At 51.6% G+C, this 19,918-nt stretch overlaps 1 protein-coding gene and 2 long non-coding RNA genes across 5 annotated transcripts in view, besides 12 other annotated features; 1 reads left to right on the forward strand and 2 right to left on the reverse strand.

Moving 5' to 3' along the window:
- WNT10A (Wnt family member 10A) overlaps nt 1-8,835 on the forward strand; it is a 19,813-nt gene extending 10,978 nt beyond the window's left edge. For 2 of the 3 annotated variants that reach the window (XM_011511929.3, NM_025216.3), the window contains 2 exons: nt 4,891-5,270; nt 7,681-8,835. In XM_011511929.3, the coding sequence (XP_011510231.1) occupies nt 4,891-5,270; nt 7,681-8,178 (878 nt within the window). In that variant the 3' untranslated portion in view covers nt 8,179-8,835. The remainder of the gene's footprint in view (nt 1-4,890; nt 5,271-7,680) is intronic. The other variant, XM_011511930.2, reaches the window with a different exon arrangement.
- Nucleotides 1,520-1,579: a silencer, noted in NCBI's record as "silent region_12333". NCBI's record gives its function as "represses an Ori minimal core promoter by ATAC-STARR-seq in GM12878 lymphoblastoid cells {active_cell/tissue: GM12878}" and the evidence as "EXISTENCE:reporter gene assay evidence [ECO:0000049][PMID:35858748]".
- Nucleotides 1,690-1,809: a silencer, noted in NCBI's record as "silent region_12334". NCBI's record gives its function as "represses an Ori minimal core promoter by ATAC-STARR-seq in GM12878 lymphoblastoid cells {active_cell/tissue: GM12878}" and the evidence as "EXISTENCE:reporter gene assay evidence [ECO:0000049][PMID:35858748]".
- Nucleotides 6,821-6,950: an enhancer, noted in NCBI's record as "active region_17131". NCBI's record gives its function as "activates an Ori minimal core promoter by ATAC-STARR-seq in GM12878 lymphoblastoid cells {active_cell/tissue: GM12878}" and the evidence as "EXISTENCE:reporter gene assay evidence [ECO:0000049][PMID:35858748]".
- Nucleotides 7,467-8,049: an enhancer, noted in NCBI's record as "H3K27ac-H3K4me1 hESC enhancer chr2:219757282-219757864 (GRCh37/hg19 assembly coordinates)". NCBI's record gives its function as "activates a minimal SCP1, AML or CMV promoter by ChIP-STARR-seq in primed H9 embryonic stem cells {active_cell/tissue: H9 hESC(primed)}" and the evidence as "EXISTENCE:reporter gene assay evidence [ECO:0000049][PMID:30033119]".
- Nucleotides 7,551-7,630: an enhancer, noted in NCBI's record as "active region_17132". NCBI's record gives its function as "activates an Ori minimal core promoter by ATAC-STARR-seq in GM12878 lymphoblastoid cells {active_cell/tissue: GM12878}" and the evidence as "EXISTENCE:reporter gene assay evidence [ECO:0000049][PMID:35858748]".
- Nucleotides 7,661-7,730: an enhancer, noted in NCBI's record as "active region_17133". NCBI's record gives its function as "activates an Ori minimal core promoter by ATAC-STARR-seq in GM12878 lymphoblastoid cells {active_cell/tissue: GM12878}" and the evidence as "EXISTENCE:reporter gene assay evidence [ECO:0000049][PMID:35858748]".
- Nucleotides 7,811-8,020: a silencer, noted in NCBI's record as "silent region_12335". NCBI's record gives its function as "represses an Ori minimal core promoter by ATAC-STARR-seq in GM12878 lymphoblastoid cells {active_cell/tissue: GM12878}" and the evidence as "EXISTENCE:reporter gene assay evidence [ECO:0000049][PMID:35858748]".
- Nucleotides 8,161-8,240: an enhancer, noted in NCBI's record as "active region_17134". NCBI's record gives its function as "activates an Ori minimal core promoter by ATAC-STARR-seq in GM12878 lymphoblastoid cells {active_cell/tissue: GM12878}" and the evidence as "EXISTENCE:reporter gene assay evidence [ECO:0000049][PMID:35858748]".
- Nucleotides 9,384-11,932, reverse strand: LOC105373882 (uncharacterized). Its single transcript, XR_923916.3, has 3 exons — nt 11,648-11,932; nt 9,612-9,825; nt 9,384-9,476 (listed from the first exon to the last, which is right to left on the reverse strand). It is a non-coding gene; the product is annotated as an uncharacterized LOC105373882 (long non-coding RNA).
- Nucleotides 10,214-10,508: a silencer, noted in NCBI's record as "tiled region #8081; HepG2 Repressive non-DNase unmatched - State 20:ReprD". NCBI's record gives its function as "represses a minimal TATA promoter and a strong SV40 promoter by Sharpr-MPRA in HepG2 cells {active_cell/tissue: HepG2}" and the evidence as "EXISTENCE:reporter gene assay evidence [ECO:0000049][PMID:27701403]".
- Nucleotides 11,230-11,709: an enhancer, noted in NCBI's record as "active region_17135". NCBI's record gives its function as "activates an Ori minimal core promoter by ATAC-STARR-seq in GM12878 lymphoblastoid cells {active_cell/tissue: GM12878}" and the evidence as "EXISTENCE:reporter gene assay evidence [ECO:0000049][PMID:35858748]".
- Nucleotides 11,970-12,239: a silencer, noted in NCBI's record as "silent region_12336". NCBI's record gives its function as "represses an Ori minimal core promoter by ATAC-STARR-seq in GM12878 lymphoblastoid cells {active_cell/tissue: GM12878}" and the evidence as "EXISTENCE:reporter gene assay evidence [ECO:0000049][PMID:35858748]".
- Nucleotides 12,530-12,649: a silencer, noted in NCBI's record as "silent region_12337". NCBI's record gives its function as "represses an Ori minimal core promoter by ATAC-STARR-seq in GM12878 lymphoblastoid cells {active_cell/tissue: GM12878}" and the evidence as "EXISTENCE:reporter gene assay evidence [ECO:0000049][PMID:35858748]".
- Nucleotides 15,721-19,918, reverse strand: part of LINC01494 (long intergenic non-protein coding RNA 1494) — a 29,824-nt gene continuing 25,626 nt past the window's right edge. The window contains exon 5 of the long non-coding RNA NR_110238.1: nt 15,721-16,078. This is a non-coding gene — a long non-coding RNA (long intergenic non-protein coding RNA 1494). The remainder of the gene's footprint in view (nt 16,079-19,918) is intronic.

Raw genomic sequence — 19,918 nt, forward strand, 5'->3', positions numbered from 1 at the left:
GACAAGCCTGAAAAGGTGAGGCATGCAATAGGGCTTTGCCCAGCCAAGGAGAGGGGATGAGGGGGTGCTGGAGCCTAGGCCATGGGGGACAGGGACAGGGGCCTCCCGTGGGAATAGAGAGGGTCAGAAAAAGCTGTGGGAGGGCACCAAGCCCATGCTAGCTGCTTCACCTAGTCCAGGAGCAGTAATGACCTTAGTGCCAATGGCACTGGTAGCCCCAGCTTTTTGTGCTAAGAACCTAGATGGTTGGTTCCTGGGCTGGGTACTGGGCAGAACATCTGGTAGAGGGGAGTGGATCACTGTGAGGTACAGAGAACCCCTTCTCTCACTGTGGACATGAGGACAGGAGGGAAATTTGAGGAGGGGGCTGCTGGGAGCTGGGCTCAGCACTGGAGTAAGAGAGGAGGAGAGGTCAGGGAGAGGCTTGATGGAGGGAAATGTGGTAGATTCACACAGCAAGCCCTGGGAACTCCCACACAGTTTAGGTACTGTCTTCCCTAAGGCCCAGACCCATCTGGAATAGATGGAAAGAGAGGGCATGAGGCCCTGCAGCCATGCTCTCAGCCCAGGGGAAGCCAGTAGTGTGGGTTTCCAGGCTCTGCTCTCCACAGCCCCGGCCCATTTTTCTCCCACCTCCTTTTTACATTTATCCTCTTGGTTTTATGCCTAGGCCTCCAGGGATTGGGGTGGTGCTCAGATGGGGAAACCAAGGCATGGGCACTCATATCCCAGGATCACCTAAGGTTCAATTATTCTAACGATACCCAATTAATTAGCCAACACATACTAAGCACCTGCTGTGTGTTAGGCACTGCTCTACAGCATTTTATCCATGCTTTAGGACCCTCAAACAGTCCCCATGTGGTAGGTCCTATTATTATTATTGTACAAATGAAGCTAAGAGAAGCTGGGGAACTTGCCATTAGTCACACAGCTTAAAAGTGAGCCATAGATCTAGGAGTCAAATGCAGGCCAGCTGACTTTAAAGTTTGCACCCAATCCCCTTCTATACTATCTCCCAAGTTGGAAGGCCAACACTAAGTCCCGCTGTGTACCCAGAGAGGTGAGCTGGTGCAATGGGGGAGCATGCCAAGAAGTGAAACTGATATGCATACGTGCACGCACACACACACACACACCAAACACCTACTCCTGTTTTTGCATATGTGTGGCTCCATTCAGTGTCATGCCTAAGTGTTCCCACATGCACACTAGTCTCTCTCTCTCTGCCCAGGCACATGAGCAATGCACAGATTATTTGCATGGAGAGAATGGAGACCAGACCTCTCCCCTTCCCTCCCTCTTTGACTTGAATGGGTAGGGCTCAAGCTTCTGTAACCCCTTCTAGTTCCCATTGGCTCCTGAATCCTCTCTCCTCCACCCTCCCCTACCCTCCAAACCTCCTCCCCCAGCCCCTTCCCAGCCGTTGGCTGCTGTGGCCTGTAGCAGCAGCTGACTCCACTTAGATGCTGGCAGTCCCTGTCCCAGATCAAAGGCAGGGCGGCTAATTGTGTGTCTTAACGAGCCGCCCCCCACCCACCCCCCCACCGCTGCCTCCCTGCTCCGGGCAGCCCAGCTGGCCATGGCCCCACCCGCTCCCCCTCCAGCTGGCCAGATGGCACAGTGCCTGTGTCTGCCCCAGACAGCTGGGGCCAGAACCGAAACTGGGGCCCTGAACAGGAGCTGGGTGCAGACCCAGTGGGCTGGGCTTCTATGAGGCCTGGATACTTGCAGCAGAGGGTGGCCACACAGGCCCTGCCTTGTCACCTCTGCACGTGGCTATGACAGCTGTCAGAGGCCACAGGGTGGTGTAGGGAAGGTGTCTTTAGCTGCATGGGGTAGGGGTGTTCTCTGCCGCGGTGGGGTACGTTTCTCCAGTTTCCCCAGGCTTACCCTTAAATGTGACAGGGCCTAGAAGATGGTGGTTGGCACTGTACACATCCCTGGACCAGCCTCATCCTCTTTCCTGGTGCCATGCACAGACAAGTCGATAGGAACTAGAAACTGAGCTACCTGGGTTTCTTTCGCAGCAGCAGGACTCCCTTTGAGTCACATGTCCTACAATAGAAAGATGCCAGACCTGGGAGCTGGGAGAGCTGGGTCTGGATGCAGCTCCATAACTTCTGTGACCTGTGTTTTCTCCTTTTGCATAATGTGTATGTGTTTGGTAGTGGTGGCAGTGTGTGTGTGTGGGTGATTTCTGAGACCTGGGCTGCCTCTGGAGGTCTGAGTATTGCCATTGTGTCCTAGGAGCAGGCTGATGACTCCCCGGCAATAAGAGAAATGCTCAAAGTTCCACAGATAAAAGGCAAGGGATAAATGCAGGATGTGCTTCCCAGGAGCTTGGTTCCATCCTCCTTCCCCTTAGGTTCCACTTCCCCAGGGCAGTTTCTACTCCTCTGCAGCTCCTGCTAATTCCCAGCATCCCCATAGAAGGTTCCAGCCCCATCCCCAGCCCCTCTTCTCTGCTCATAGCTGAGCTCCTTATGCAAAAATGTACTGAGATGCCATGAGATGGAAAGAGAGAGGGACAGTCTGCTTCATAGGCATCTGGTGGCCCAAGTGACCTATTCTAAAGTGGGTCATGAGCTGCTGGGCTTTGTCCCTGATCAGGGTGAAACAAAAAACAATGGCCCAAAAAATGCAGCAGGAGTGAGTGAGGTCAGATAGCAGAAAGAACTTCTCAATAATAGCTAATGTTTGAGTAATACTTCCTCGATTAGTAAGGCACTATTCTAAGCACTTTAAATTTACCAGTTCATTTAATTCTTGGAACAACAATGAGGCAGATAATAGCTCTATTTTATAGGTAAGGAAACTGAGGCACAGGGAGGTTAAGTCACTTGGCCAAGGTCACATAGCTATTAGCAGCTAGTAAGTGGAAGAGCCAAGATTTGAAGTAAACTGGTTTCAGGAATTAGTTCTTAACTACTAAACAGCTTGTTCTGTTTCTTTCTGTTATTTTTTGTTTGTTGGTTGTTTTTGGTTTTGGTTTTTTTGTTTGTTTTGGCAGGAAGGGGAGGACAGGGCTCTGTGATGCAGTGGGTGAGGATTAAGGTGGGATTGGCCCAGGCCTCTGGCTTCTCTTGCTGCCTGCCCCCTCTCTGGTGTGCGGAGGCTGGTTGGAGACTTGTACCAGAACTTGTTCCTAGCTGGTCCATTCTCAGATGCAGAATAAGCAAAAGATAGCTTGCATGTCTGAGAATGGGACCCTCCTTTGCAAGTAGGCCTCCCCCTGCCACAGGTCCAGGTGTTCCCAGAGAATGGCTCAGGTTGGAGCACCAAGAAGGAAGGCAGTGTGGACAAGCCAGTGGCCAGGCCGGCCTAGCCGCGGCCCCCAAGAGTGGCTTGGTCAGGGAAAATCTGTGCCTCCTGAACATCTGGTGGAAGGTATCTGCCTCAGCTTGCCCTTCCTTCTCCATGTTCAACACTACTACATGCCAGACCCCATGCAGGACCCTGGGCTTCCCTCTAGCGTACCTCCAACAGCCTCTGCAGCTGACCTGGGTGGGTCACAGGCAAGGTGGCTGGGTAGCGCCCATTTCTGAGTGGCTTTCAGGGATGTCCTGTGGACAAGCAAGGGGAAGCTCTGGTGACCCATTTCTTTGCCTCTGGAGTCTGGTCATTAGGGAGGATCCTATGCTGTGCCTAAGATGGGCACGCACCCAGCAGGCTATCTTGGGGCAGGGAGCATTAGGAGCTGACCGTCTCCTCTTACTTACTCTGCTGCCCACTGACATCTCCTAAGGCCTGGAATTTCATCATTGACAATTTATTCTCTTTTTTTCCAAAATTGTGTACATTTTATTTTATGAAATATCATTTTATTTATTTATTTATTTATTTCAATAGGTTTCTGGGGAACAGATGGTGTTTGGTTACATGAATAAGTTCTTTCGTGGTGATTTCTGAGATTTTGGTGCACCCATCACCCAAGCAGTGTACACTGCACCCAATGTGTAGTCTTTGATCTGTCACCTCACACCCAACCTTTCCCCAAGTCCCCAAAGTCCATTGTGTCATTCTTATGCCTTTGCATCCTCATGGCTTAGCTTCCACTTATAAGTGAGAACATACGATGTTTGGTTTTCCATTCCTGAGTTACTTCACTTAGAATAATAGTCTCAAATTCCATCCAGGTTGCTGTGAATGCCATTATTTTGTTCCTTTTTATGGCTGAGGAGTATTCCATGGCATATTTATACTGCAATTTCTTTATCCACTTGTTGGTTGATGGGCATTTGGGCTGGTACCATATTTTTGCAATTACAAATTGTACTGCTGTAAACATGCGTGTGCAAGTATCTTTTTCGTATAATGACTTCTTTTCCTCTGGGTAGATACCCAGTAGTGGGATTACTGGATCAAATGGTAGTTCTACTTTTAGTTCTTTGAGGAATCTCCACACTGTTTTCCATAGTGGTTGTACTAGTTTACATTCCCACCAGCAACATCACTGGCAATGAATTCTTTAGCTTAAATGTTGCCCTCATTCTGTGGGCTTATTTTAAAATTGCAGATACCACTGTGAGAGGTAATAGATTAAGTCCCTGATTGTAAAAAGAATGTGTTTACCTGATACTTTCTGCTCTACAGTAGAGATGTAGACACACAAATTCTGAGTTTGCTAAAGGTGATGTTAAAGAACAGGAGAAGGGCGTACAAAAAGCAGAGGGCTATTGGGAAGCCTCCCTCCCACCCCACCAGGTTCTGTTTGCAGAAGAACTGGCTTCTGGCGTGATTTCTGCCCTTCTTTGACTCTGTTTCCTTGTGCCAGACTCTCCTGCATACTGGGCTTCAGTTTCTCCTTGGAATGATGAGAAAGGTGGGCTGGAGAATGGGGTGTCAAGGCCCCTCCAGAGTCCATGTGTTCTGGGTCTTTAACCACAGGTTTCCGAGAGAGCGCTTTTGCCTACGCCATCGCAGCAGCTGGCGTGGTGCACGCCGTGTCCAATGCGTGTGCCCTGGGCAAACTGAAGGCCTGTGGCTGTGATGCGTCCCGGCGAGGGGACGAGGAGGCCTTCCGTAGGAAGCTGCACCGCTTACAACTGGATGCACTGCAGCGTGGTAAGGGCCTGAGCCATGGGGTCCCGGAACACCCAGCCCTGCCCACAGCCAGCCCAGGCCTGCAGGACTCCTGGGAGTGGGGCGGCTGCAGCCCCGACATGGGCTTCGGGGAGCGCTTTTCTAAGGACTTTCTGGACTCCCGGGAGCCTCACAGAGACATCCACGCGAGAATGAGGCTTCACAACAACCGAGTTGGGAGGCAGGTGAGAGCCCCACCCCTGGGTCTGCTTCAAATCTCTTTGCCTAGGGCCTACCCCTTGCCCTGGCCTACCTCTCTTCTGAGGACCACGTTGCTCCCACATGTCACACCTTGGCAATCTTCTCGTTGACCCTGTCTAATTCAACAAACATGCACTGAGTATGCACTGTGCACCAGGCACTGGACTAGGCCTGGGGATACAGGGCAGAAACAAGCCCTGTTGCCCTGGATCAGCATACCACCTGCTGAGCAACCTGCTTCTCCTACTTCCTCGGGTGATCACCCAGGAGAAAGGACAGGGGTGCAGTCAGGACTTCAGGAGTCTAGGCCTGGAGCTCCCATCTGACTCCTCCCCTATAGAGTGACAAGGTTGAACTAGATCATCCCTAAGGTTCCCCCCAATGCTAATGTTCCATGATCCAGTGATCTCTCCCAGCCTTTCTGTGCAGTCTAGAATGAGGGATTCCTGCAAAGTAAGGGGTGTAAGTGAAGTTCCTAGGGGCCACTGGGGAACTGTGTTATGGTGCCTTTCTCCTTTATCCTCTGTCCTCAAATGCTCCTACTACCTCAAGGGTCATTCATTAAAAATAAATTAAATACATACACACATACATAAAAAAGCAGCAGAAGAAAGGATAGTGGTAATAGCCTGCATTTATTGAGTGCTTACTATGTGTTAGGCACTGTCTTGAGCACTTTCCTACATATTAACCTATTTAATCCTTACAACTACCTATGAAGTGGGCACTGTTATTAACCTTATGTTGAGATATGGAAACTGAGGCATGGATTGACCAAGAAGCTTGCCCAAAATGATGCAACTAGTGAGAAGGTGGTCCAGGCAGGGTTCATCCCCAGGCAGTTGACCTTTGAGCCTGTTCTCTTTTGTTCTACAGCGTTGAGTCCACATTCTGATGCCCTGTTGGCTCTCATGGTAGCTCAGCACTGTCCTTTCCTGAGCATTCCATCTCCATCATCCCTTCTTTTGACTCTGCTCAGCCTGTTGAGGCCTTTTACCTGGCTTCCTCTCACTCTGGCTGGCACCTTCTCCATCTCACTCTTCTTTCTCTTGGCCTCTTAGCCCACGATGGGTCATCTTCCTGCACAAAGCTGATTCAGCAATTCCCATCTTGACTTAGAGGCGGGGTAAACTGAGGCACACTTACCCTTGGGTCATGTCCAGCTCCCACCCAGCCTGCCCTGTACAGCTCTTTTCCCAAGCCTCACCGCCATCCCAGCCCATACCAACGGTGCCTCCTCCTCCTCCTCCTCGTTAAACTGGTTAATTAATGGCTGCTGCCCGTGGGAAGCAGATGTTCTGGAGCTGTTGGCCTGGGGAGGCATTGGTCTGGTTCCCACGTGGTGCTGACAGCACAGGCTGCGCATGCACGCTGTGGAGCCCTTTCAGACCTCGAGGGGAAGGCGCCCTCTCTTATGGCCCTACTGCCCAAGTTTAAGGGCCCTGGATCATTGCCGTCCCTGTCTCAGGGTGTGTTTTCGGAGTGGACTGAGGGAAAGGAGGGGATGTGGCCAACTTCTTACGGGGTTTCTGGTGAAAATGTCAAAGGGTTCTTAGTAAGGAGACTCTAGAGCAGGTTGTGAGCTGGGTTGGGGGCGGCTGGGTTGCGTTCCCATAACCACCTCCCTTGGAGGCCTGAGACCTTCTCCACTTTCACTGAGCTGGAGAGCCTGGCTCTCTCCGGTTCCATTCTGTATTAGGTAGAGCTTTGGCCCCTGGTGGCGCTGACTTTTCCTAGGACGAACCATGGGTCTCAGCATAGTGCAGAATGAGCCCCAGGCAGCATAATCGGGGACAGTTTCCCCAGCACTTGTCCCCCTCCTTTGGCTCTCTACAAAGAGATGTAGGGGGAGCTGGAGAGGGAAGGACTGAGAGGGGGACCAAGGCTTTCTGAAACTCACCGAACACCCCTCCACCCACCCCACCACACACACACACACACACACACACACACACACACACACACACACACACACACACACGGCCTGGAGCGAGATACAGCGGGGCCAGCACCCTCCTGCTCCTGGCCCCTACCCCAGGGGTGGCAGGAGAGGGAATTTCCCTGCCTATTTGGGATCCCCCTTCAGGAAGCAAGAGCCTCCAGCCCCAAGGGCCCCCTGCAGCTGCTGGAAAGGCGGGCAGGAGAGGAGGGGAGCCGGCAGGTGGGAATTCCCCCGGGGCCTGGCCTGGTGGGAGGTGGGTGGGAGAGGCAGAGGCAGAGGCAGAAGAGCAGGTACAGAAGTTCTTCTGACTGCCTGGTTGTGGGACCCTCGCTCCCGGCCTCAGCGTTTGCCTCTGTATAATGGGAGTGGGTTTCAGAAGCAGGCCAGGCTAAGCGCTGGGAGGGGAGTGGGGCTGCGCGCCGTGTCACCCCTCACGGTGCCTCCCTCCGCAGGCAGTGATGGAGAACATGCGGCGGAAGTGCAAGTGCCACGGCACGTCAGGCAGCTGCCAGCTCAAGACGTGCTGGCAGGTGACGCCCGAGTTCCGCACCGTGGGGGCGCTGCTGCGCAGCCGCTTCCACCGCGCCACGCTCATCCGGCCGCACAACCGCAACGGCGGCCAGCTGGAGCCGGGCCCAGCGGGGGCACCCTCGCCGGCTCCGGGCGCTCCCGGGCCGCGCCGACGGGCCAGCCCCGCCGACCTGGTCTACTTCGAAAAGTCTCCCGACTTCTGCGAGCGCGAGCCGCGCCTGGACTCGGCGGGCACCGTGGGCCGCCTGTGCAACAAGAGCAGCGCCGGCTCGGATGGCTGCGGCAGCATGTGCTGCGGCCGCGGCCACAACATCCTGCGCCAGACGCGCAGCGAGCGCTGCCACTGCCGCTTCCACTGGTGCTGTTTCGTGGTCTGCGAAGAGTGCCGCATCACCGAGTGGGTCAGCGTCTGCAAGTGAGCGGCCCGGGGTCCCCTGGGCCCTGATCGAGGTCCCCTCCTGGAGCCTGGCCCTCTGAGGCTTACGGTCTTGGCAAGGCAGCATCGCCTTGGCTCTTGGGAAGAGGAGATTGGACCACATGATCTTATAGGAACCCCTCAGCTCTGAGGTCTGTGATCGCCGGACAGTCCAGGCCTGTCTGAACCCCACCACTCACTTCTGTGGGCTCTAGGACTGACTGGGTTCTTCCTCCCTCCCCGAAGCCCAGACAGTTCAGTTGGGCTGGGGGTTGCTCCACACCCTAAAACAAGCCTCAGCCAGGCAACCCGTCAGTCTGTCTCCATCCTTTCACCCCTTCCCTGGAGATGGGAGGTGGGGAATGAATGGAAGCTGACGGGCAGAGAGAGGAGGATTAAAAAAAAGAAATAGACATAACTGAGCTGAAGTAATTCCATAAAGGGCCCAGACAGCCTCCTCCACCATTCCCTTCATCATTCATTTAACAAATATTTATTTTGCACTCTCTTTGCGGCACTCTGGGGGCGGTGGGGTGCGTGGGGGTGGCAATGCAAGGCACTGAGGCCACAGATGTGAGTAAGCGAGACACAACACTTGTCCTCTTGGAGGTTACATTCTTGCTGGGGGGAGGCATGGGCAATAAACAAGTAAATATACAAACAAGGTCATTTCAGACAATGCTGTGTGCAGGCTGCTGGGTGTAGGGGGATTTATGGGGAGTGGGGCTCCTCAGACAAAGCCACTGTTTTTTCAGGGAAGGCCTCTGTGAGTTGTGATACCTATGCTGGGACCTGCATCATAAGCCATGCAAAGAGTATGGGTAAGGGCATTCCAGGCAGAGGCCATGTGAAGGCAGAAAGTGTGAGCTGAGAAAGATCTCTGCCTGCTGGAGAAACAGCAAAGGGGCCATTGTGATTGCAGTGAAGAAATCAAGGGACAGACTAGCAGGAGAGGTGTTCAGAGGGTGGGCAAAGGTCACATCGTGTGTCTCTCTAAGCCAAAGTAAGGAGTTGGGGTTTTATTAAAGAGGAATGGGAACCTTGAGATCCTTAAGCAGGGGAGTGTCCTGGTCCAAGTCTCACATGGATCGCTGATGGGGAACTGGCTGAAGGGGGATGAGGTGACAGCTGGTAAGCCAGTGAGGAATAACAACCATCTTCTAAGTCAGAGATGGGGCTTGGACTGGTTGTAAGCAGTGGGGATGTCGAGAAGGGCTCTGGTGCCAGAGCTCTAACCGCCCACCTTGTGCCTGAGCCCTCTGCCACAAGCCAGGACGAGTGGCCGTGCCCAGCAGCAACTGTCTGCAGAGACAGGAGGCACTCAGAGGAGTAATCCTGGGCAAGACCCAGCTCAGCCCAGCCCAGCGCCCCGGGGAGCAGGTGGGGCCAGGAGGCGCGGCTGGGAAAAGGGTGGCGGAGGAGGGCCCGGAGACTCACTGTCTGGATTCTGGTCTCTCTGAGTCCAGGCAGGGTATGTAAGTAAGGTGCAGGGGGCACATTCTTCCTGGGCCTCTTGTGCTCCCAGATCCCCATATCAGGGTGCTCCTTAGCAGGTCAGCAATCCTTCCCCACCCTCATGTCCCTGTGAGGACACTGTTGAGCAGTTTGGGTCCAGTGTTGCACTCTCCTTCGCTCTCGGATCTGATGTTTTCTGGAACAGACCCTCAAGGAGGAGGGCGGTGGAGAAGGGAGTGAGGTCAGGATCTCAGGGAAAGAACACTTTACCTACTGCATCCAGGCCTCTTGCTGCTCACACTTGAGGATCCCGCTGGCTGCCTCAATTTACCCTAGAATAGCACCCCTCTTGATGAACCAGGCAAGGATGAAGACTTGTTCCTTTCCCCAGTGATCAGCCAGCACAAATCCTCCATACTTTCCACCCCTGATCCATGTCTCCCTACCCCTGAGTAGAAGTGAGAAGGAAATGGGGGCCTCTTAGTGATACACCCCAGTAGGCCCACCAGCTGGAAGATTTGCCTCCATGAGCTTGCCCCTCATCTCCTTCCCCTCCAAATGCCAGCAGCTCGCAGGCATGCCTGTGGCAGAGGGGCTTCCGAATGCTCAGCTCTGCTGCTTCTCTGGAGGACAGGGTTTCTTTCCCCATCCCCCAAAAGACAGCCCCACAGGCGGGCGGGTGAGAGTCCCCCAGGAGGAGGGGTAGGCAGGAGCAGCCAGACACACCTGCCTCATTCCTTTCCTCTTGATCACCTAGGAGAGAGCTGTGGGGGCTGGGTTTTCCACCCGCTTCCTCCCTCCCATCCCAGGGAGGAGGAGAGAAGAGGTGGGGGAAATGGAGGCCTAGGGTTGAGGGGGTGCTGCCATGCCCAGCAGTGTCCACTGCAACATTAGCCTTGGCCTAACCCTCCTCTGCCTTCAAGGCTTAAGGAGGATGACCAAGCTGGGGGAGGGGAGACTGAAGATGAGAGGTAGAGGATCAGGACTGGGATAAGAAGGTGGGAGCAGCCATGCTGCAGAGCATGTGTTGAATGCAGAGAGAGGGGTGGGTGGTTGGGTGGGGCAGGGGGCTGGACCCGGAGTTGTAGGGAGGACACATGTTTTAATGACATAAGTCAAGGTGATCTGATATGTGTTAGCCTAACTTGTGAAGCCCAGAAGCTGATGAGTTCTGGGACCAAAGGTGACGCCCACGGTTGAAAGGGGTTGTATGGGACTTGATAAGGGACCTAAATTAGGAAAATGTGGAGGTGATGGAGGGTGGGAAAATGGGGCCCAAATGGCACTGAGCTTATGCATGCTGGATGAAGGGTGTGGCAGGGATCAATAAACTGACAGGAAATAGGGGAAATGGGCTGGAATAAAGTGGGAGGGTGCAGTTTAGATGGGAGGAAGAACTTGCCAACAGCCTGGGAAAGATCAGAGGTGAGACTTGGAAATGAGAACAGAAGGTGGGTAGAGATCATTCAGAGAAGGAGAGGACCTCCCCTGCCACCAACAACTGTCACCTGATGGATGCTAGGTTACCTCCTTGCAGGAGGGAAAAGTAGGAGGAGGAAGGGCACTAACAGAATGAGGGTGGTGGACAGATTAGAAGGCAGTGGTGGGGTTAAGGGTCAGGGAGAGGCAGCCAGGCTGGGGTGAGATCAGAACGCAGGCATCCCGCTTTGCAGTCACTCAAGGTCCAGGGTAGAGGCACTCAAAGGTAGACTTGGAGTTGTAGGAGTGCCCCGGCCGGTGAGAAACAAGGTCAGGGTCATCCCGGAGCTCCCCCTACTTCCCCCAAATTAATGTGCCCCCAGCTAGCCCCTGGCAGGGGGCCTTCCACGTTGGAGTGTGGCCAGGCTCTAGTCACAGCCCCCTTCTCTCCTCCTCCCCCCACTTCTCATGTGGTTGCCGGCAGCTGCCTGCGGTCGCCCCAGCCCCTGCCCTCAAGGCACAGGGACTTTCCAACAGGGGAAAAAATGACTTAATGAGAGTGAGAGCTGGGGGCGGGAGGGACAGGTCCCTGTAATCACCGCTCGGCTGTGGGGCCTGCGCTCCTCCGGGCCCTTCCCCGGCTTCCTGCTGCCAGCGCCTCCCTCGGGCTCCGGTTGGGGAGGAGGACAAGCTGGCGACTGGGGTATCCCTTTTCAGGTGCCAGGCTTTCAGGGGCCCCAGATGCTTTTGCTCCCTAGGCTCGCGGTGTATGGAAGCTGGGACATCCCATGATTCCTCTCTGGACCTTGTCCTTGAAGTTAGGGTTGGCGCATAGGAGGTCTCTCCCTGGAGCGGCTAACCCCTGCTGGTGGGTTGGGAGGTATAGGATGGTGAGGAAGCCCTTTGCCACTTCGCGGCTGCGCACTTTGGAATGCCCCCGGTTACTGTGGTAACCAGGGCAGCCGAGGTGTGTCCTCGGGGCTGGGAGGCGCCCGCCCCCCCACCTTTTCTCGCCGCCCGCGGGGCCAGGCCGGGCCGCTGCGGTGCGCGGGGGTGGGGGTGTGCCGTTACCATGGCAAGGGTGCGCAAGGAGGGCACATTCTTCCCCAGGGTGGGAGCGCCCTGGGGATACAAGAAGGGGGGTAACCGAGGCAGCAGAAAGGGGAGGGGGGTCAGAATGAGGGAGGAGTCTCGGACTAGACTAACCAGGGCTTCTGGGGTTTGGGTGGGGAGTTTGGAATCTGCCCCCACCACCCCCGCAGCTCTCCCGAGGCATCCCGCTCCTCCTCCTTTCACCCTCGCTGGGGTTCAACCTCCCCCCAACCCACGAAACCCCAGTTTCCGGGGAAGGGATCCCCGGCTACCTACCCAAAGGCCTTTGGCTTCCTCCAAAGCCGGGCCTGAAGAGCTAAGGGGCCCGCTCCCTTCCCCCCAGTGGAGTTGCAGCCCAGACTGCTGGCCAAAGCCCTGCAATTAAGCCCCTCGCCCGCCCCTGCGCCGCCCGCCCGTCCTCCGCCAGGCCGGGTCTGCGCCGCCAATTGCAGCAGCACGCAGCAGCTGATTACCCCTACCGGAGCCTGGGGAGCGGCCAGGGGTGGGGACAGCGGGCAGGTCAAGGGGGCAGGGTCCCTGGGGTTGTCCCTGGCCCCGGGGTCCTTCACTGGAGCTTCTGATTCTAGCGCAGCTTCTCCGCCCCAAACAATATGGGGAGAAGGGGTCTGCTCAGTACTCCATCCTGCTGTGCCTCAGTTTCTCACTCCTCCACTGCACACCGCACCCAGAGCAGAAAGAGCTCAGAAACGGTCTGTGTGTATGTGTGGATGTTAGAACATCTGGAGTTAAGGGCTGGATTCTCCACAAGTTCAAGGCCTTAAAGTCCAGCTCTCTTTCCGGCTGCAGACTGCCGCGTGGGTCTCTCCTGGCCCTGCGCCCCGCCCTGTGGACCCCTCTCGGTCATGCTGAGGCAGCCTAGGGCCGCGGGCAGCCCAGACTGCACTTTGGTGGGTATCAGAAAACGTCCCGCCTGGGTGGGAGGCGCCCCTCTTCTGCCCTACAGGGGAAGGCAATCCGGGAGTCTGCAGAGCAGCGACAGTGGAGTGCTCTGCCACCACCCTTGCCCCCTGCCGTCCCTTCTTCGCCCATCCCTCCTCCGCCTGCGGGTCTGCAGGGGCTCGGGTAGGGCTTCGCGCCTCCCGCGGTCCAGCTGTCTACATCTGGCCAGCAGCTGGGAGCCGCCCACCGCGAACTGCTGAGGACACAGCGCCCTCTGTTGGTGAGAGGCGGCGGCGCATCAGCTTTCGGGCCTTGGGGCGCGTAGCCCCAGTTAATTGGGTGGGTCTCGGGTTCAACTCATCCGCTGCCCTTTGACTTGGGAACCACCCGCCCTCTGCCTCGCACGGCGCCCAAATCCGACTTCACGGGCCCATTGCTTTCCGCCGGCCGCGGCCTTGCTGGCCCTCTTTCCTCCGTCCCTGTGTGCTTAAAACCCAGCTCAGCGACCTAGCTAGCTGTCCACCAACCTCCCATTTTTCCAGTTGTCTCAGCTTCGTCCCGCAGGTTCTGCGGCACTATCTCTCCGCGCCCAACGTAAAAGTCCTTAAATAGGAACATGATTACATAAGTCACCGCCCATTTGCTCAATGGAATTCCTCGCCGCGTCCTTAAAAATGAGGCGTTTGAAATATATTTAGTTCCTGAGACCGTGTTTGCTCTAAATGGATGGGGGGTGGAGGAGAAGATGCAAGACACAAAATAGCACAAGGCAGGGTCCCTCTTTAACGGCAAAAAATTATACATGCGATTTGCATTTTAGAAGTCTCAAATAGACATCAAAATGCTAACAAATTATTTTTGGATGGTGGGTGTATAGGTGGCTTAAAATTTGTTCTCTATCTGCATTTTCCATTTGTCTATAAGGAACGTGTGTTACTTGGGCACATTAATAATTCTATATACAGATTATTTTCTCCCAAAATGTGAGCATCAAATTATATCATTAGATTGCACTAAATTTTATTTAACTCAATTTATGTAATTTTGTTTGGGACAGGGTCTCGCCCTGCCGCCCAGGCTGGAGTGCAGTGGTGCAATCAAGGCTTGCTGCAGCCTCGACATCCAGAGCTCAAGCGATTCTCCCACCTCAGCCTCCCGAGTAGTTGGGACTACAGGACTACAGGCGCATGCCACCACGACCGTCTTTTTTTTTCTTTTAGAGGCGGAGTCTCGCTTTGTATTTTAAGCTGGTCTCTGAACTCCTGGGCTCAAGTTATCCTCCCGCCTCCAATTCCCAAAGTGTTGGGGTTACAGAGACTGAGCCACTGCCCCTGGCCAGAATACACTAAATTTTTTAAAAGATCCCGTTTAAAACTAGGAATTGGGGGACCTGGCCTCCTGACAAGAGCTAATATAATTATGTCATTGTGATTTTCTTTTTAAAACTGTAATGGTTTGTAGTGAGAACAGGTTTCCAATCTCTGAATCCCAGGGCCCAGGGAAGTCAAGAAGTTGTTAATTGCTTCCATGCGGAAGCCAAATCCATATGCACATTCAGTATTGTCTGTGAATGAATAATGGGTTTATTTTCCATTGCATTGCACATGTATGAAGATGCTGCCATGATTAATAATGTAGAAAATTTGTAAATAGTTTAATACCTTTTTAAAAATTCTCTTCTGTCTTTTTGCAATATTACACATTATTAGCTGCCCTCTCCTTACACATATGGAACCCTTTGGTGTCAGTGGTTGATATTGCACTGCCTCAACCTCCTCTCATTCTCCACTGCCTCAGGGATTTCATTCACTCCTTCCTTGTCTTTTTCTTTTGAAATAATTTCAACGGTATAGAAAAGTTACAATGATATACAAAGAATTTCCCCCTTTCCTGAACCACTTATGAGTAAGTTGCCTCCATGATGCCTCATTACTCCCTAATATTTTATTTTATTTTATATTATTTTATTTTATTTTATTATTTTTATTTTATTTTATTTTATTTGAGACGGAGTCTCTCTCTGTCTCCCAGGCTAGAGTGCAGTGGTGCGATCTCGGCTCACTGCAAGCTCCACCTCCCGGGTTCACGCCATTCTCCTGCCTCAACCTCCTGAGTAGCCGGGACTACAGGCACCCGCCACCACGCCCAGCTAATTTTTTTTAATGTTTTTAGTAGAGACGGGGTTTCACCGTGTTAGCCAGGATGGTCTCGATCTCCTGACCTCGTGATCCACCCACTTCGGCCTCCCAAAGTGCTGGGATTACAAGCGTGAGCCACCGAGCCCGGTGACTCCCTAATATTTTAATATATATTTCCTACAAATGAGGACATCCTCCTTCATAATCTAACACAATGCTCACAATCAGGAAATGAACATTGATACATTAGTTCAATATAACCCCCAGACCTTACTGGACTTTCATCAATTGGCCCAATGCTGTCCTTTATAACCAAAGGATCCAGTCTAGGATTATTCATTGCATTTAGTTGCCACGTCTTTCCAGTCTCCTTCTGTCTGAGATGATTCCTAAGCCTTTCCTTTGCTTTCATGACCAGGACAATTTAGAAGCATAGTACAGTGCTATTGTAGAATGGCCCTTAATTTTGGCTTATGTGTTGTTTCCTCATGATTAGATGTAGGTTATGCAACTTTGACAGCAATATTACAGATGTTGAGTGTTTTCCTCATTACCTCATTATTTATTTTGATGCTCAATTTCCCAGATTTTGTCCAGTTGCCAAGCTGGTTTCTATTGCCATAATTCTTTGAGCACTTGCTTACTTTCTGTCACAGCAAGATGTTCCAGGCTTATCTTGTAATTTCTCTGCCACAGCTCTGGAATCAGCCATTGCTCCAAGGGATGCTTCTTTCTTTTAATAGAGAATGATGTGTAGAAGCCAAGATCTGGGTGCTAGATGTGCTCATTGTTCCTGGAGTGTCATTGTTTCTGGAGTGTCATTGTTCCTGGAGTGTCATTGTTTCTGGAGTGTCATTGTTCCTGGAGTGTCATTGTTTCCAGACCTCTCAGTGGACAGTCCTAGGAAATATATGTATTATTATACACACATTTATGTCTACTATGTATCTATGTATCTATCCATCTATCTATCTATCTATCTATCTATCTATCTATCTATCTATCTATCTATCATCTATCTATTGATCTTTCCATGTAAAAAACAATGAGTTCACCTTTGATTCCAATCAAACACCACAGGGCTTATTTTTGTTTTCTCCTTTTCGATTTTTGTAACTTCTCTCTTTCTTCTTATTGGATTAATCCTTTGTAAGTAACTGGTTCATTGTCACTGCTGCTGCTCCCTCCACTCCTCTTGCAGACACTGTCTTGTTCCATCTTGGGCTCTCATAACCTATGCCAGCCCAATGTCCCCTCTGCCCCTGCATGGGTGCCTTGTCTTGCTTGGCTCTATGTTATGGCTTTTGAGTGAAATTATTCAAAAAGAAAGACCAGCAGGCAGGCAGGAAGGCTGGAAACAGTTTCACTATTCTTGGAGCTTTATTTATTTATTTATTTATTTTAAGACAGGGTCTCACTTTTTGCCCAGCCTGGAGTGCATTTATTGCAAACACAGCTCACTGCACCCTTGACTTCCTGGGTTCAAGAAATTCTCCTGCCTTAGTCCCCCAAGTAGCTGAGACTACAGGTGTGCACCATCACCCCTGGCTAATTTTTGTATTTTTTATAGAGACGGGTGTTTCACTATGCTGCCCAGGCTGGTCTTGAACTCCTGAGCTCTAGTGATCCACTTGCCTTGGCCTCCCAAAGCGCTGGGATTACAGACGTGAGCCACTGCGCCTGGCCATTCTTGGAGCTTTAGATGTACTTCTTAATCCTCTCTATTCAGTAAATGGCAAATGCTTTTCCAGCTATCCCCGTTAAAAAAAATCCTAGAGTCATCAAACCCATTGGCAGATCGTGTTAGTTCCCCATCAGTTTCTATTTAAAGTCTGATCACATGTCACTTCCTCCATCATTCCTTCATGGTCCACGCTATCATCATCTCTTGGCTTAATTGACTACAACTGTCTCCTAGTTGCTCCCCTTGATTCTGCCATTACACAACCCCAGTCTATTCTATACCCAGCAGCCCAAGTGATCCTTCTAAAGTGTCAGTCATGTGATGTGCCTCCTCTGCTCAAAAGTCTCTAAAGTCTTTCTATCTTACACAGGACAAGAGCCAAAGTACTAAGTACAAATTAGCCGGGCGTGGTGATGTGCACCTGTAGTCCCAGCTACTCGGGAGGCTGAGGCAGGAGAATCTCTTGAACCCGGGAGGGGGAGGTTGCAGTGAGCTGAGACTTACAGGTCACCATGACTTACAAGGCGTGATAGGATTGGCTCCCTGCTACCTCTTTCACCTCATTTTCTCCTCCAACTCTCTCTCATCCACTTTACTTTAGCCACACTGGCCTCCTGCAAATTCCTTGAGCAATCCAAACACTGTCTTGCCTCAGGGCCTTTGCACCTCCTCCCTCTGCCTGAAATCGGTTTCCTCCAGATAACCGCATGAATGTTGTCTTCCTTCATTCAGGACCTCACTGAAATATCTCCTTATGAGAGGGGCCTTGTATGGTGCCTCATGCCTGGAATCCCAGTGCTTTGAAAGACTGAGGCGGGAGGATCACTTGATCCCAGGAGTTCAAGTCTACATTGAGCTATGATCAAGCCACTGTACTCCAGCCTGATTGACAGGGCAAGACCCTGTCTCAAAAAAGAAAAAAAAACCCACACAAAATAAACATAGAAAAGAGGAGCCTTGGCAGAACATCCTGTATAACATAGCAAACTTCCTCTTACCTTTACCTTGCTTTATTTTTCTTCATAGTATAGATCACATATTTGACCATATTTGTGTATTTCTTTATGCTCTGCTTCCACACTCTATAATGGAAACTCTACGAGAACTGAGACTCTGTTGTTTTTTGCTGTATTTCTAATGCCAAGAATGGTATTAAGTACATAGTAGGAACTCAATAAATATAAGTGAATGAATGAATAAATAAATAAATGTCTACAGAAATCACTACTAACTTCTGTCTTCAGGCCCAAACTTCCTTCCTATGATCTTTCTTTTTTTTTCTTTTGAGACAGAGTCTCGCTCTGTCACCCAAGCTGGAATGCAGTGGTGTGATTTCAGCTTACTGCAACCTCTGCCTCCTGGGTTCAAGCAATTCTCCTGCCTTAGCCTCCTGAGTAGCTGGTATTACAGGTGTGCACCACCATGCCGGGCTAATTTTTGTATTTTAGTAGAGACAGGGTTTCGCCATGTTGGCCAGGCAGGTCTTGAATTCCTGACCTCAGGTGATCCACCCATCTTGGCCTCCCAAAGTGCTGGGATTACAGGTGTGAGCCACCACACCTGGTCTCCTGTGATCTTTCTTGAAGTTCCAGCTGCCAGCTAGACATGTTTTAATGTATGCCTGTGATACCACCCACTCAAGCTTTATTTTATTTTATTTTATTTTTGAGACAGAGTCCTGCTCTGTCACCCAGGCTGGAGTGCAATGGCGCCATCTCAGCTCACAGCAACCTCTGACTCCTCTGCCTCCCAGGTTCAAGCAATTCTCCTGCATCAGCCTCCTGAGTGGCTGGGATTACAGGTGGCCTGCCACCACGCCCAGCTCATTTTTTGTATTTTTAGTAGAGATGGGGTTTCACTATGTTGGCCAGGCTGGTCTTGAACTTCTGACCCCAAGTGATCCACCTACCTCAGCCTCCCAAAGTGCTGGGATTACAGGCGTGAGCCACCATGCCCGGCTCAAGCTTTATTAATGCAGATTCATTATCTTATGTATGTATTTGCTAAGGGCTGAGACTTTGTTTTGTTTACTGTTCTTTTCTCAATGCCTAGCACAGTGCTTGGCATAGACCAGGCATTTAATATTTGTTGAATAAGTGAATGAATGACTTTCCCCTCCAAACCAGTTCTCCTTAACTTGCTTGTTTCTCTTTGTCACATCATCATTTTCTTAGTCACTGAACCTCAAAACTGGTGTAAACTTGGACTCTCACCTTCTCTTCTCCTTTCTATATTCAATCAGTGGCCAAGATCTGCTTATTCTTCCACTTCATTCACATGGTCAATATCCTAGTTCACCACACACCTCAAACATCACAACGACCTTCCAACTAGCCTCTGTCATTCCTCTTTCTTCCTCTTCAATCCATCCCTATCCTATTGTTCTGTTTTTCTCTCCCACGAAGTGCTCTGATCATGTCATTTCCTCTGACTAAAGCTCTCAATGGATCTTTGTACCAATTTGGGTTCTTAATTGCAAACAACAGAAACAGACTCTGGTTCACTTAGTAGAAGAGGAATTTACTGGGATGACATCAGGGAACTCAAAGAATTGACAGGAAGCCTCAAGAATCAGGCTCAGGAAGCAAGCAGGAGCCAAGAGAAGCTAGGCAGCTAGAACTTTAGCTAAATCCTGTCCCAAGTGCAGCCTGATTAAGGGGCTTGGGGGCTGCTTCCCACATGGCTACCACCACCCTGAGCACTTGCTGCTGCCACCTCTGGGATGAATTATAAACAGTCCTCTTCCTCCTTGGGTCACTTGTTGAAGATTTAGAGTCCTGACTGGGAGCATTGATTTGGCTGTGATCTTCCTGCTAGGGGCCAGGTGAGCAAGTATCTGACTTCTCACTAAGACTCACATTAGGGAGGCTCCACCAACATATGAAGGGGGCTCAGATGCTGGGCAGCTAAAGACTCCAGTGTGTATCCATATGCAGGTTCCTGAGCATTGAAGCCCTCCACCATATGCCACAAACGATCATCTCCAGTTTTTTCTCACTTCCACACCATGTTCCACTGAAGCATGACTGTGTGCAGTTCCCTGAGCAGTCCTTTCC

The sequence above is a fragment of the Homo sapiens genome, chromosome 2, assembly GCF_000001405.40.
Source record: "Homo sapiens chromosome 2, GRCh38.p14 Primary Assembly".
NCBI lineage: Eukaryota > Metazoa > Chordata > Mammalia > Primates > Hominidae > Homo > Homo sapiens.